The 16,335-nt window shown below is 42.5% G+C and overlaps 1 long non-coding RNA gene across 1 annotated transcript, besides 3 other annotated features; it reads left to right on the forward strand.

The window, feature by feature from the left end:
- Positions 4,217 to 4,782: an enhancer, noted in NCBI's record as "NANOG-H3K27ac-H3K4me1 hESC enhancer chr12:106170114-106170679 (GRCh37/hg19 assembly coordinates)". NCBI's record gives its function as "activates a minimal SCP1, AML or CMV promoter by ChIP-STARR-seq in primed H9 embryonic stem cells {active_cell/tissue: H9 hESC(primed)}" and the evidence as "EXISTENCE:reporter gene assay evidence [ECO:0000049][PMID:30033119]".
- Positions 11,804 to 15,325, forward strand: LOC105369960 (uncharacterized). The gene is made up of 3 exons (XR_945310.3): positions 11,804 to 11,991; positions 13,090 to 13,503; positions 15,238 to 15,325. It is a non-coding gene; the product is annotated as an uncharacterized LOC105369960 (long non-coding RNA).
- Positions 11,874 to 11,923: an enhancer, noted in NCBI's record as "active region_6943". NCBI's record gives its function as "activates an Ori minimal core promoter by ATAC-STARR-seq in GM12878 lymphoblastoid cells {active_cell/tissue: GM12878}" and the evidence as "EXISTENCE:reporter gene assay evidence [ECO:0000049][PMID:35858748]".
- Positions 11,964 to 12,103: an enhancer, noted in NCBI's record as "active region_6944". NCBI's record gives its function as "activates an Ori minimal core promoter by ATAC-STARR-seq in GM12878 lymphoblastoid cells {active_cell/tissue: GM12878}" and the evidence as "EXISTENCE:reporter gene assay evidence [ECO:0000049][PMID:35858748]".
- Positions 15,326 to 16,335: the final 1,010 nt, after the last annotated feature.

Consider the following 16,335-nt stretch of genomic DNA (forward strand, 5'->3'; position numbering starts at 1 on the left):
AGTAAGAGGTATAAGCAAGAGGCTATAACTAGATTTCTGAAAGAAGTGAGAAAGGGGGGAAAACAGAAGTGAACCAACAATCGCTGAGCTCTTCCCTTGTTCCAGGGCAGGTGCTGAAAAGACAGTCCCTCAACTCTGTCTGGTGGAGAAAAAGTCTAGTCCAGAAATGAGTGCAAGAAGGCATGCTGGTTCTGTCAGGCACGGTGGCTCATGCCTGTAATCCCAGCACTTTGGGAGGCTGAGGCGGGTGGATCACCTGAGGTCAGGAGTTCAAGAGCAGCCTGGCTAACATGGTGAAACCCTGTCTCTACTAAAAATACAAAAATTAGCTGGGCATGCTGGTGCACACCTGTAATCCCTACTACTTGGGTGGCTGAGGCAGCAGAATCATTTGAACCCAGGAGGCAGAGACTGCAGTGAGCTGAGATCATGCCATTGCACTCCAGCCTGGGTGACAGAGTGGGACTCTGCCAAAAATAAAAACAAAAAGGCAAAGACATGCTGGTTCTTACAGGAGAGGGAAGCATGTTTTGTTGGGGCACACCCCATTTAGATGGGCATTAGAGGAGTCCATTTTTAGGTGAAAACTGAGGCTCCAAAAAGTTAAATGAGTTGCCTAAAGAATCACAGTGTGATCACTGGGGATCTATTGGTTGCATGTGACAGAAGCCAAGTCCAAACAAATTCAAGAATAACAAAAACCAAAAAAAAAAAAAAAAAAAAAAAAAAGAAAAAGAAAATTGGCTCATATGATAGAAAACTACAGCGTGCAGAGGTTAATCCAGCTCTTTTCCTGGACCCAGGTGCCCCATCTGTGCCCTGTCTTTCATATGGCTTTTTTCTGTGTTGCTGCACCTTCTGGAAGCCTTCCCTCCATTGGGAGGAAAGATGGCCCCAGAAGCCACAGGCTGCCATGGTCCTTCCACCTTGCAGCTTATGGCATCCCCAGAGGGATCCTGATTGGCCCAGCTTGATTGCCTTGGGCCAATTAGCACAACAGGTGGAATCAGAATCGTGAACTCTGATCACATGCCTGCTGCTGTGACGAGGCAAGTGCAGCCACCACATGACTGATATCCCCACCAGAATCACCCACAACAGGGAGGAATATTTCTACAAGAAGTGTATGGGGGCCGTCCCCTTAAAAAGGGGACAAACACAATCCATGTCCTCAATACACATTTTAGAAATTTGCGGAGTTGAGCTGCAAGCCCAGGCTGCATTCTGAAGTTTGTGTCTTTCTATCTTGCAAAGTGCCCTTCCCACATACCTCTGACAAATGAGAACAGAAAGAAGATTTAATGGCAGTGCAAATGAAAGGAAAGGCAGAAATAATTCTGGGAGGCCAAAACACCAAAGAAGAAATAAGAAGAGGAAGCAAGAGAAGCAGGATGAGAGAGGCTGTGGGAAAAAATAAAAACAGGGTTGGGAAAAAAGCACCAAGGCCTATCCTGCAGCCTTCAATCCCTCCTCTGGAATCCCTGCCAGAAGCTGTTGGTGTTTTTCAGAAAGCTTTTTCCCTTCCTCCTTGTTAAGAAGCTGAGAGCCAAATGCCCCATTAATCTTTCAAAAGGCCACTTTGGCTTCTTGGGGCAGAGCCACGCACGTTTGGCTTGCCTCCCTCATGTTCATTTTCCTTCCCAAAAGCAGGGGGACTTGGCAGGCCAACCCAGCTACCCATTTAGGATCACAGGGACCAGAGGCTGTTACCACTGCAGTGGGGTCTTACCTGGGAAGATAGTGGTCATCCCTGCACCTCAAGGACTCTCCTCCCATCTGCTTAGTTAGGCTCCACTTGACCACATTCCATTTCTCAGGCCCATTTGCAGTGTGAGAAACTCAGTAAACAAAAATAAACCCGGAGCTCCAAGTGCCACCACCCCACTGGGCAGCTGCTGGTACAATGCAGGGTGTAGTTGGGGATACTAGGAAGTTCTTTCTTCTAGCAGAGCTACAGTTGGGGTGAGCAGGCGAAAAGGAGACAAATGGACTAAAGAGTAACATGGTACAATAGTGTTGTAACCAACACAGACAAAACAATGTAAGACGTGTCACTTACGAGACTCTTTTGTCTTCCTGAGAGCCTTCCAGGAATCAAGTCCTGCACTTGGCTGTGAGGGCATAGGGGTGAATCAGATGTGGACTGTTGGTAGGGACACATGTCTTCCCTACACCACAGGGAAGTTTCCCCATGATGTTTCCTCCATGTGGAAGGAGTTCCGCTGGTGGGAAAAAGTTGGCATCTCTTCACCCCTTTACTCCCAGAGGTTGAGCGATAGGTGAATGGTCAATTTGGAATAAGTGATATGTGAATAGTCCACTTGCAAAGACTGTAATGGGGCACACTTATCTCAGCTCCGCCTATCTTGTTCTTTGCAGTTGCTTTGCCAGCAGAGAAGTCTACCATTCTGAGCTGAATTGTGTCTCCTCCTCCCTTGCAAATTTCTAAGCTCATTATTAACCCCTCATACCTTAACATGTGATTGTATTTGGAGATAGGGCCTTTAAAGGAGTAATTAAGGTTAAATAAGATCATCAGAATAGGCTTTAATCTAATACGACTGGTGTCCTTATAAGAAGAGGAGATTAGGATACAGACACATGCAAAGGGAAGACCACATAAAGATACAAATAGAAGAAGATGACCATCTACAAGCCAAGCAGAGAGGCTTCCAAAGAAACCACTTGTGGTGGCACCTTGACGCTAGACTTTTAGCCTCCAAAACTGTAAGAAGAGAAACCTTTGTTGTTTAAGCCACACAGTCTGTGGTATTAGTGATGGCCACCCTAGAAAAATAATAATATACCTACTCTAGCTGGAGTTGGAGCCTATGCCCAGATAAACCTGTAAGACTTGGCTGAGCAGGTCTGCCCCTGACTCCATCCCTCACTGCCTCTACACTCTTCATGGGGATCACTGCTTCAGTCCAGTGTTGTCTGGATTAACTTAATAATAAAGCTAAGAGTTTGGCCTCCATCTGTCTTTCTTTTTGTCTTATTTCTTATTTTGTTCAGTTTTTGGGTGAAGAAGTAGGGATACTTTTTACTGGATTCCTTGAAAACTCCAGATTAGACTATAGCAGTCAGAAGAAAAGTTATGGCGGTAGCAACTGCCAAATTTCAGTGGCTTAACAAGACAGCACCTGATTCCTTGCTCACATTCTGTTATCAGTCTATCATGGTGAAACTTAGATTCTACCCATCCAACACAGCTCGGCAGGGAGACTCTGCTCTCCCCAGCCACTCAGTCCCTCAGAGGCAGCCTCATGATGAGGATCCATGACCACTGTGGCGGCAGGAGCAGGAGATGGTTAATTGCACACTGGCTCTGAAGCCTCCCCCTAGAAATGACACGCATCACTTGCCATCGTATTTCATTGGCCAAGCAAGTTATATGATCACAGCTAGCATCAAAAAGGTAAGAAAGTGTCATCTTATTTTATGTCCAGAAGGAGGAGATCTGGGAATACTTGTGAACAGCTCTAATGACCACCACATGAACTATAGTCTCTGCCTGAGACAGTGACAGCTTAGAGAAGGAGAATGAGTAATTGTACAAAGATTGTGATTCTTATGTGAGGAAATTGCCCTATTTGTATGTGTGCTTGACCCACCTGAAGGTGCTCAGATAAGCAAGTTGCTCCCCTAAGGAGCGAGGCCTCAGGAATGATGGCCCCTGCTCCTGCTCATTCAGTAAACAAATTAATGGGTGCAGCACACCAACATGGCACATGTATACATATGTAACAAACCTGCACGTTGTGCACATGTACCCTAAAACTTAAAGTATAATAATAATAAAATTAAAAAAAACAAATATTTGTTAAGCACCTGTGAATATGCCAGGCACTGTCTGAACCCTGCAGGGTGTGGGGCATCCCTGATCTCCCACCGCCTTAATGCCAGTAGAATTCCCCAATCATTGTGACAACAAAAATATCTCCAGGGGGAGGAGCCAAGATGGCCGAATAGGAACAGCTCTGGTCTACAGCTCCCAGCCTGAGTGACGCAGAAGACGGGTGATTTCTGCATTTCCATCTGAGGTACCGGGTTCATCTCACTAGGGAGTGCCAGACAGTGGGCGCAGGTCAGTGGGTGCGTGAGCCGAAGCAGGGCGAGGCATTGCCTCACTCGGGAAGCGCAAGGGGTCAGGGAGTTCCCTTTCCTAATCAAAGAAAGGGGTGACGGACGGACGGCACCTGGAAAATCGGGAAAATCGGGTCACTCCCACCCGAATACTGCGCTTTTCCGACGGGCTTAAAAAACGGCGCACCACGAGATTATATCCCCCACCTGGCTCAGAGGGTCCTACCCCACGGAGTCTCGCTGATTGCTAGCACAGCAGTCTGAGATCAAACTGCAAGGCGGCAGCGAGGCTGGGGGAGGGGCGCCCGCCATTGCCCAGGCTTGCTTAGGTAAACAAAGCAGCCTGAAACCTCGAACTGGGTGGAGCCCACCACAGCTCAAGGAGGCCTGCCTGCCTCTGTAGGCTCCACCTCTGGGGGCAGGGCACAGACAAACAAAAAGACAGCAGTAACCCCTGCAGACTTAAATGTCCCTGTCTAACAGCTTTGAAGAGAGCAGTGGTTCTCCCAGTACGCAGCTGGAGATCTGAGAACGGGCAGACTGCCTCCTCAAGCGGGTCCCTGACCCCTGACCCCCGAGCAGCCTAACTGGGAGGCACCCTCCAACACGGGCACACTGACACCTCACACTGCAGGGTACTCCAACAGACCTGCAGCTGAGGGTCCTGTCTGTTAGAAGGAAAACTAACAAACAGAACGGACATCCACACCAAAAACCCATCTGTACATCACCATCATCAAAGACCAAAAGTAGATAAAACCACAAAGATGGGGAAAAAGCAGAACAGAAAAACTGGAAACTCTAAAAATCAGAGCGCCTCTCCTCCTCCAAAGGAACGCAGCTCCTCACCAGCAACGGAACAAAGCTGGACAGAGAATGACTTTGACGAGCTGAGAGAAGAAGGCTTCAGACGATCAAATTACTCTGAGCTATGGGAGGACATTCAAACCAAAGGCAAAGAAGTTGAAAACTTTGAAAAAAATTTAGCAGAATGTATAACTAGAATAACCAATACAGAGAAGTGCTTAAAGGAGCTGATGGAGCTGAAAACCAAGGCTCGAGAACTACGTGAAGAATGCAGAAGCCTCAGGAGCCGATGTGATCAACTGGAAGAAAGGGTATCAGTGATGGAAGATGAAATGAATGAAATGAAGCGAGAAGGAAAGTTTAGAGAAAAAAGAATAAAAAGAAACGAGCAAAGCCTCCAAGAAACATGGGACTATGTGAAAAGACCAAATCTACGTCTGACTGGTGTACCTGAAAGTGATGGGGAGAATGGAACCAAGTTGGAAAACACCCTGCAGGATATTATCCAGGAGAACTTCCCCAATCTAGCAAGGCAGGCCAACGTTCAGATTCAGGAAATACAGAGAACGCCACAAAGATACTCCTCGAGAAGAGCAACTCCAAGACACATAATTGTCAGATTCACCAAAGTTGAAATGAAGGAAAAAATGTTAAGGGCAGCCAGAGAGAAAGGTCGGGTTACCCTCAAAGGGAAGCCCATCAGACTAACAGCGGATCTCTCGGCAGAAACCCTACAAGCCAGAAGAGAGTGGGGGCCAATATTCAACATTCTTAAAGAAAAGAATTTTCAACCCAGAATTTCATATCCAGCCAAACTAAGCTTCATAAGTGAAGGAGAAATAAAATACTTTACAGACAAGCAAATGCTGAGAGATTTTGTCACCACCAGGCCTGCCCTAAAGAGCTCCTGAAGGAAGCGCTAAACATGGAAAGGAACAACTGGTACCAGCCACTGCAAAATCATGCCAAAATGTAAAGACCATCGAGACTAGGAAGAAACTGCATCAACTAACGAGCAAAATCACCAGCTAACATCATAATGACAGGATCAAATTCACACATAACACTATTAACTTTAAATGTAAATGGACTAAATGCTCCAATTAAAAGACACAGACTGGCAAATTGGATAAAGAATCAAGACCCATCAGTGTGCTGTATTCAGGAAACCCATCTCATGTGCAGAGACACACATAGGCTCAAAATAAAAGGATGGAGGAAGATCTACCAAGCCAATGGAAAACAAAAAAAGGCAGGGGTTGCAATCCTAGTCTCTGATAAAACAGACTTTAAACCAACAAAGGTCAAAAGAGACAAAGAAGGCCATTACATAATGGTAAAGGGATCAATTCAACAAGAAGAGCTAACTATCCTAAATATATATGCACCCAATACAGGAGCACCCAGATTCATAAAGCAAGTCCTGAGTGACCTACAAAGAGACTTAGACTCCCACACATTAATAATGGGAGATTTTAACACCCCACTGTCAACATTAGACAGATCAACGAGACAGAAAGTCAAGAAGGATACCCAGGAATTGAACTCAGCTCTGCACCAAGTGGACCTAATAGACATCTACAGAACTCTCCACCCCAAATCAACAGAATATACATTTTTTTTCAGCACCACACCACACCTATTCCAAAATTGACCACATACTTGGAAGTAAAGCTCTCCTCAGCAAATGTAAAAGAACAGAAATTATAACAAACTATCTCTCAGACCACAGTGCAATCAAACTAGAACTCAGGATTAAGAATCTCACTCGAAACTGCTCAACTACATGGAAACTGAACAACCTGCTCCTGAATGACTACTGGGTACATAACGAAATGAAGGCAGAAATAAAGATGTTCTTTGAAACCAATGAGAACAAAGACACAACATACCAGAATCTCTGGGATGCATTCAAAGCAGTGTGTAGAGGGAAATTTATAGCACTAAATGCCCACAAGAGAAAGCAGGAAAGATCCAAAATTGACACCCTAACATCACAATTAAAAGAACTAGAAAAGCAAGAGCAAACACATTCAAAAGCTAGCAGAAGGCAAGAAATAACTAAAATCAGAGCAGAACTGAAGGAAATAGAGACACAAAAAACCCTTCAAAAAATTAATGAATCCAGGAGCTGGTTTTTTGAAAGGTTCAACAAAATTGATAGACCGCTAGCAAGACTAATAAAGAAAAAAAGACAGAAGAATCAAATAGACGCAATAAAAAATGATAAAGGAGATATCACCACCGATCCCACAGAAATACAAACTACCATCAGAGAATACTACAAACACCTCTACGCAAATAAACTAGAAAATCTAGAAGAAATGGATACATTCCTTGACACATACACTCTTCCAAGACTAAACCAGGAAGAAGTTGAATCTCTGAATAGACCAATAACAGAATCTGAAATTGTGGCAATAATCAATAGTTTACCAACCAAAAAGAGTCCAGGACCAGATGGATTCACAGCCGAATTCTACCACAGGTACAAGGAGGAACTGGTACCATTCCTTCTGAAACTATTCCAATCAATAGAAAAAGAGGTAATCCTCCCTAACTCATTTTATGAGGCCAGCATCATTCTGATACCAAAGCCGGGCAGAGACACAACCAAAAAAGAGAATTTTAGACCAATATCCTTGATGAACATTGATGCAAAAATCCTCAATAAAATACTGGCAAACCGAATCCAGCAGCACATCAAAAAGCTTATCCACCATGATCAAGTGGGCTTCATCCCTGGGATGCAAGGCTGGTTCAATATACTCAAATCAATAAATGTAATCCAGCATATAAACAGAGCCAAAGACAAAAACCACATGATTATCTCAATAGATGCAGAAAAGGCCTTTGACAAAATTCAACAACCTTTCATGCTAAAAACTCTCAATAAATTAGGTATTGATGGGACATATTTCAAAATAATAAGAGCTATCTATGACAAACCCACAGCCAATATCATACTGAATGGGCAAAAACTGGAAGCATTCCCTTTGAAAACTGCCACAAGACAGGGATGCCCTTTCTCACCACTCCTATTCAACATAGTGTTGGAAGTTCTGGCCAGGGCAATTAGGCAGGAGAAGGAAATAAAGGGTATTCAATTAGGAAAAGAGGAAGTCAAATTGTCCCTGTTTGCAGACGACATGATTGTATATCTAGAAAACCCCATTGTCTCAGCCCAAAATCTCCTTAAGCTGATAAGCAACTTCAGCAAAGTCTCAGGATACAAAATCAATGTGCAAAAATCACAAGCATTCCTATACACCAACAACAGACAAACAGAGAGCCAAATCATGAGTGAACTCCCATTCACAATTGCTTCAAAGAGAATAAAATACCTAGGAATCCAACTTACAAGGGATGTGAAGGACCTCTTCAAGGAGAACTACAAACCACTGCTCAAGGAAATAAAAGAGGATACAAACAAATGGAAGAACATTCCATGCTCATGGGTAGGAAGAATCAATATCATGAAAATGGCCATACTGCCCAATGTAATTTACAGATTCAATGCCATCCCCATCAAGCTACCAATGCCTTTCTTCACAGAATTGGAAAAAACTACTTTAAAGTTCATATGGAACCAAAAAAGAGCTCGCATCGCCAAGTCAATCCTAAGCCAAAAGAACAAAGCTGGAGGCATCACACTACCTGACTTCAAACTATACTACAAGGCTACAGTAACCAAAACAGCATGGTACTGGTACCAAAACAGAGATATAGATCAATGGAACAGAACAGAGCCCTCAGAAATAACGCCGCATATCTACAACTATCTGATCTTTGACAAACCTGAGAAAAACAAGCAATGGGGAAAGGATTCCCTATTTAATAAATGGTGCTGGGAAAACTGGCTAGCCATATGTAGAAAGCTGAAACTGGATCCCTTCCTTACACCTTATACAAAAATCAATTCAAGATGGATTAAAGACTTAAACGTTAGACCTAAAACCATAAAAACCCTAGAAAAAAACCTAGGCATTACCATTCAGGACATAGGCATGGGCAAGGACTTCATGTCTAAAACACCAAAAGCAATGGCAACAAAAGACAAAATTGACAAATGGGATCTAATTAAACTAAAGAGCTTCTGCACAGCAAAAGAAACTACCATCAGAGTGAACAGGCAACCTACAGAATGGGAGAAAATTTTCGCAACCTACTCATCTGACAAAGGGCTAATATCCAGAATCTACAATGAACTCAAACAAATTTACAAGAAAAAAACAAACAACCCCATCAAAAAGTGGGCAAAGGACATGAACAGACACTTCTCAAAAGAAGACATTTATGCAGCCAAAAAACACATGAAAAAATGCTCACCATCACTGGCCATCAGAGAAATGCAAATCAAAACCACAATGAGATACCATCTCACACCAGTTAGAGTGGCAATCATTAAAAAGTCAGGAAACAACAGGTGCTGGAGAGGATGTGGAGAAATAGGAACACTTTTACACTGTTGGTGGGACTGTAAACTAGTTCAACCATTGTGGAAGTCAGTGTGGCGATTCCTCAGGGATCTAGAACTAGAAATACCATTTGGCCCAGCCATCCCATTACTGGGTATATACCCAAAGGACTATAAATCATGCTGCTATAAAGACACATGCACACGTATGTTTATTGCGGCATTATTCACAATAGGAAAGACTTGGAACCAACCCAAATGTCCAACAATGATAGACTGGATTAAAAAAATGTGGCACATATACACCATGGAATACTATGCAGCCATAAAAAATGATGCGTTCATGTCCTTTGTAGAGACATGGATGAAATTGGAAACCATCATTCTCAGTAAACTATTGCAAGAAGAAAAAACCAAACACCGCATATTCTCACTCGTAGGTGGGAATTGAACAATGAGATCACATGGACACAGGAAGGGGAACATCACACTCTGGGGACTGTTGTGGGGTGGGGGGAGGGGGGAGGGATAGCATTGGGAGATATACCTAATGCTAGATGACGAGTTAGTGGGTACAGCACACCAGCATGGCACATGTATACGTATGTAACTAACCTGCACAATGTGCACATGTACCCTAAAACTTAAAGTATAATAATAAAAAATAAATAAATAAATAAATAAAAAGAAAAAAAATCCAATATCACAAAGAAAAAGCAAGTAGAAGGCGTATGATTAAAATAGATTAAAGATACATAATTTAAAGCAATGCATAAATTTTTATTGCTTTCTGGTTTTGAAAGATAGCAATATGACATTTGGAGAAAATGGGGAGGATTTGAATATGACTTGAATGATAGATGATATTAAGAAATTATTGTCAATTTTTTTAGAAGTTAGAGGGATATTGTTGCTATATGTGTAAATGTCCTTATTCTAGGACCTGTATTCTAAAGTTTTTAGGAGTGAAGTAGCATGCTGTCTCTAACTTATTTAAACAGTTCAAATATATATATATATATTTAAATTTGTGTCTGTACATGTGTAGAGAAAAGAGAGATGGTATATTTGGGAAAATGTTAATAGATGTTGATAAGATTTGTGAATTTATCTTCACTGTATTTTTTTAATTTTTCTGTTTGTAATTTTTCATGACAGTGAGAGAAATTTCTACTTTTGTAAAAGACTGATTGCAGCATTAAAGATTGTGTAGTTTTTTTATTTCAAAAAATATATATATATATATCTCCAAAGATTTTCAGTCTAAAATCGGGTAGAATTATGGCAGAAATATATGTTTTTGTTGTTGACATTTCATTTTTCATGATAGGAAAAAACATGCTATTTTTTTTGGGAGGGGCAGGGAGAAACATTCATTTTATAGCAAGTTAGGTGGGAAAAAGCACCTGGGGACAAAGGAAAAGCAATAGGTTTCCACCTTGATGATCCAAAAGTGAGTTATGAAGGCTCATAGAATGATCATCATCAGAATTGTTAGGAACCTCAGAAAAATAAGTCCAAATCCCTTATTTTTTAGGCAAACAACAGGGACCTGATGATTGCAGAGACTATTTTTTCATTTTTATTTTTATGGGCACATAGTAGGCATGTATATTTTTGGGACACATGAGATATTTTAATACAGGCATACAATGCATGATAATCACATCAGTGTAAATGGGTATCCATCACCGAAAACCTTTATCATTTCATTCCAATTATTCTCTTTTAGTTATTTTAAAAATGTATGATAAATTATTGTTGACTGTAGTCACCCTGTTATACTATCAGATGCAAAATCTTATTTATTTTATCTAACTATATTTTTGTACCCATTAATCATCCCTCTCATTTCCCCACCACCACCCCGACTACCCTTCCTGGCCTCTGGTAACCATCATTCTACTCTTTACAGAGACGTTTTAAAAATTTAATCAGGACTTCAGGTAGAGAAAGAAAAGGCACCTTTCCCCTTCTTCACTGTGCAAATCACAACATCCTCTGTTTTAAGCAGCTCTGGCTACTATAGCAAAATACCATAGACTGAGTGGCTTATTAAAAAAACCAGAAATTTATTTCTCACTGTCGTGGAGGCTGGAAGTCCAAGACCAAGGTGCCAGCATGGTTGAGTTCTGGTGAGAGCCCTCTTCTTGGTTGCAAAAGGGTACTTCTGTGTCCTCACATGGTGGAAAGAAGGCAAGACAATTAGTTCTCTGGGGCCTCTTTTGTAAGGGCACGAATACCATTCATGAAGGATCCTTATGACCTAATCAACTCGCAAAGGCTCAGCCTAATACCATCACATTGGGGGTTTGGATTTAAACATATGAATTTCGGGAGAACACAAACATTCCTTCCATTGCATCCTCCTTCCAACACTGACTCCCACAACTCATACTGCACCTACTACTAAATCCACTACTTTGAATTTGGATGGGTGCTGGCAGGAGGGACTGAGGGGGATCGGAGCGCTAAAAGGGGGCATAAGGGAGAGGGAAGCTGAGACAGTCAGTACTTGCAGAACAGGTGCTTCTCTTTTAGATGTGGAAATTCAAGCCACTGAAAAAAAATTTAGAAGAGACCTGTGGAACAGTGGACTTCTGGGCTGACCCAAGCACAGACTGTACACATCAGACAATTTGGAAAGCACCTGGCAGTCACTGTGGAGAAGGATCTCTGATGTAAATATTAAGCAGTAGCATTATTACTGTTTATATTTATAGCATAGTTTCTAAAACCAGCAGCCAAAGAGTTCAGCGGAACTATTTGAGAATGAAGGCAGGAAATCAACTTGTAAGCATCATCAAAACTTTGTCAGTTTCCTCTTCCTCTTTTAGGCTGACAACATGGTTTTTGAAAGGATGAGAAAGCACTTAGAGCGGTTAGGTACTCCAGATGTTAGATCACCTGCTCCAAGATTTCAGCTGAGACTTGCAAATTTGTTTCATCTAAATTTCTTAAGCTAGTTTCAAGCCTTGGTCCCTGAGGCAGAATTGAAGACTATAAAAATAACCCCCGGTACAACTCCCAGGCTGGAAGACAGATGCTGCAGGCAGAAGTGATTTCCATAGTTAGAACTGCTTCTACTTTGGGGCTGCCCCAGAATTTCCGGAAATGATTAAGGAGATCTGAGGGACCACAGAGATCAGCAGGAGCAGTTTTTTTTCATTTCCCTGAAGTATGTTTTGGGTATGTTGGTGGATGATGGGAAGGGTTTGTGGGACAGTTGCCAATGGCACCAGGAAGCAAGGAGCCAGCTCCCAAGTCAGTGCTGCCTGGTGTGAGAATACCCCATGGCTCCCTTCTGCATGGACAGGCCTGGGGTTGAGTGTACCGGTGACTGGGAAACACCACAACTCCCTCTGCCCCGCTCTGCGAGCAGTCACACACTTGCAGCTCAGGAAAGAACTCCAGTAGGTGTTTTCATCTTCCTTGGAGCAATGAGTGTTCATGTCCCATGCGCAGCTGTAATCTACAAGCATGTCAAGTGGGGTGTGTGTGTGTGTGTGTGTGTGTGTGTGTGTGTGTGTGTGTCATGGGAGAGATAGCTCATGTCATCTGAGGACACTTTGTTCCAACTTTGGCCTTACTTTGTTCTTGTGTCAAAATGTATGGTCTAAGACCCCAAAACACCACCTGGTGAAGATTTATCCCCTAACCTTAGGGACCTTCTGTACAGTAGCACATCAGTAATTTGCAGAAAATATTGTGAGCCCTTGATCCAAAGGGAGCAGAAGTCCGACTCCTTCCTTGTCACCTATCCTCTCTCTCTCCTCCAGTAGCTTGCTGCCGGTCCACTGATGATGCTCACCTGCAGGACTCAGCCCACCCAATTTCTACCTGGATCTTGTACTGGGGTGTGGGTGCCCCCCGCAGGATTGCTTCCCCCAGGGGTCTGTGCTGAGGTACAAGATCACCAGACTTACCTAGGGCAAATGAAAGAAGTACAGCCAGGCAGGATCTGAACTGTATTGACCAGGGAAGTGAAAGTCAAAACTGTAGAGGTGGTTCCAAGCATCAAGTTTGGTGAAGGATGAGGTGAGATGTCAACAGCAAGATGCATCAGCAGAGCAGAAGGAAGAAGGAAGCAGAACCCAAGGCAGCTTGAGGCAAGTTGACCAGAAGAGAGGATATGAAATGGATGGACGTGTCAGAGGTCCATTTCTACTTGACGGAGACAAATCCTCAAGGAGGTAGGAGGGAGCGGGTGGTTGGTAAACCAATTCCTTCCATAAGCAGCTGCATCAACAGCTTCCATCTTGCCCCTTGTTGGGTTTGGAGTTGAATCAGGCTCCCAGTCCCAGAACTCGGGGGCATGACTGTGGACTGTTTCAGCTCCCATGAAGACCCTTGGACTCTCCTGGCTGCCAAGTAGATCCAGGACTTTTCTACTGGAAGCAAGCTCTGATATTCAAATCTTAGCTCTCCCAGTGCCTAAGTGGACCCAGGCCATACGATGGTCTTCTGTCTAAACATCCCCTCTAATTCTGAGCCTTTGTGCTTAGTGTCCAGCAACTCCAGCCAGCCTCAACAGGGCCCTCCTGTGATACTCGACTTCCCCATTCCCTGGGGACTGGATTCTGCATTTGATGACCTGACTTCTGGGACGTGTCTTTCTGTATAATTTCAGGTTGAGAGTCTTTGGCTCTATCTCAATGACTCCTGAGTAAATGGCAAGAATTTCCTGCAACTGTTCCTCACTCTTCTGTTGGGCAGCTTCCAGAATGGGATAAAATCATTATATAGTCATCTACAAGGCCTGAGTATCCTCTCTGGCTGGCTTTTAATTAGTAACCCCACCCATGCTGGATTTATTGAGTAGATTTTTCCCCATTCTCCTCCATCTGCATGTTGTTGAAAGTTTAGGATGCCTTGGGCCCAAGCCCATCCAGGTGAAGTAATTTATAGCCTACTTTCATCTACTTCTTTTTGTAAGCACAGGCTCCAAGCCTCCTGAGAGCTATATGTTTTTAATATTTCATGGATAGTAGAATGAGTAAAGTTCTAGCTGTCTGGGGTTTCTTCTTTGTGAAATCCAGCTATCCCAGTTGTAGACTGTGGAGAGAGTATCAAGTTAGATTAAATTTTAAGCAGTATCCACATGCTAGCACCTGGAGAGTTTGCCAGTAACTACAACTGAGAGAGTCATACAAGGAGAACTTCCCAGCAGCTACTCTCTGCCTTAAAATGTAGAGCCATCCTAGAGGATTCATTATTTTACCTCCTTACTCAACGAGTCATTTCACAGGGCTCAGGAATCTATAGGAGGGTTAACATTCACTCCCTAAATCCAAAGAGCCCTATGGGAATCTCAAAAAGGGAAAATAGTCCATGGAATAAGGCAGGTATGTATCTGCTTCTGGCCTGCGTGTGTGGAGGATGACAGTAGGCCCTGAATTTACCTTTCTGTGATGGACACCCCTTAGGTTCTTATGGTTCATAAATCCATACAATCTACTGTGGAAGAGTTTGAGGAATGGGTTGATGGAATAACTCCGACTGTAAACTTGCCTCTCTCTCTGCTCACTCAATTACGTAGAAATAGGCTATCAGCCAACCTCAACTGTTCAGAATATGACCCCAAACCAGAGACTACCACAAAGATAGATGTACAATCACTTTATAGGTAGGGATTCCAATTCTTCAGTGAGTTTATTGTTTTTCTTTCCAGAATAGGTAAGAATCTTTTTTTTATTTATTTCATCTAGAGACACATCTACCATATTGCCCAAAGCACAACTGGCAGGAAACAGAGATTTTTCTGGATGATACTAGCAGAATTAAAATGCTTCTTTTGGTAATGTCCACCTATTAAAAAATGTCAGTAGCCCACTCACTGGAGCCATCTAGAAAAAGTTGTCCCCTTCCACAGAATAGCCTTTGCTTTTTAAAAGTAATGCTTTTTTTTTTTTTTTTTCTGTTTACAGACATTGTAATTTCCTTTGAAATATTGGAAAGCAGCAATCATGTGGACTGTAGAGTAAGACGGGCCAGGATGGAATCCCAGTCAGGCTTCTCTGTGACCTAGAGCTCCTGCAGCCCATTAACCTTCCTTTAATTTTCTTTAACACTGGGATAACAACCAGAAAGCCATAGAGCTATTGAGAGGAGCTAACACAGGTAATCTGGCTCTAGGAAGACTCAAGGATTACTTGTGGAATTTAAACAAAGTGAACCAGATCTTAATCCCAGTGTATTTTAATTCCAAGTTTGGTTTGTTTCTCCCTGATGAGTTACCACCAACCCCAATGAGATTGACAGAAAATGCTCTTTGGTTACTTATTCTTCCAAATATCCTTTCCTTCTCTTTAAAAAATATAATAACACATCTGGGATATATTATATGGTGGTATATATTTCAGTCTATGTTTCTGCTAATGCCTTAGTAAATAGAAAACGCATGAATGTTGACTGCTCAAATACAGTAGCCGCTAGTCAGCCTCAAGTGAGGCTGAATATGAAGTTAAACATTGCAAGAGTAAAAATAAGTGGGTCTATCAAAAGTGGAACACTATCCCCAGTAGTATCTGAATCACTTTTTATAATTAAGATAATGCTCTTAACCTCCTCCTACTGCTTAGAATAAAGAAAGTTATAAAAGTCTATGATGTTCTTATTTATATCAAAGGAGAGTGTATCAGTTAGCAACACTTCTGGATGTTAATATCAGTACATTTAACTGACAGTGGATTAAACCAACAGAAGAGTATTTTGTTATTGTTTTCATATTTTCTTAAACAGAAACCTTAGTCGAGGGCCAGCATCTCTGTGATTTTCTTGGTTTTCCCTCATGGTTGTAGAAAGCTGCCCTGGAACCAGACATCAAGTTCAAATCCAGCTGAAGAGCCAGGAGTAAAGAGACAGGACCAGCCACGTGCCACATTTTTTTTGTCAGAAAAGCCAGACTCTTCCCAGAAACACCGAACGGAGAGAAACACTAAACATCTCATGGCCAGAGCTGTGTAACAGGGCCACCCCTATCTGCAAGGGAGACTAGAAAATTGAGGTTTTATCTATTCCAGCCT

Source organism: Homo sapiens, chromosome 12, assembly GCF_000001405.40.
Source record: "Homo sapiens chromosome 12, GRCh38.p14 Primary Assembly".
In the NCBI taxonomy this organism is placed as follows: domain Eukaryota; kingdom Metazoa; phylum Chordata; class Mammalia; order Primates; family Hominidae; genus Homo; species Homo sapiens.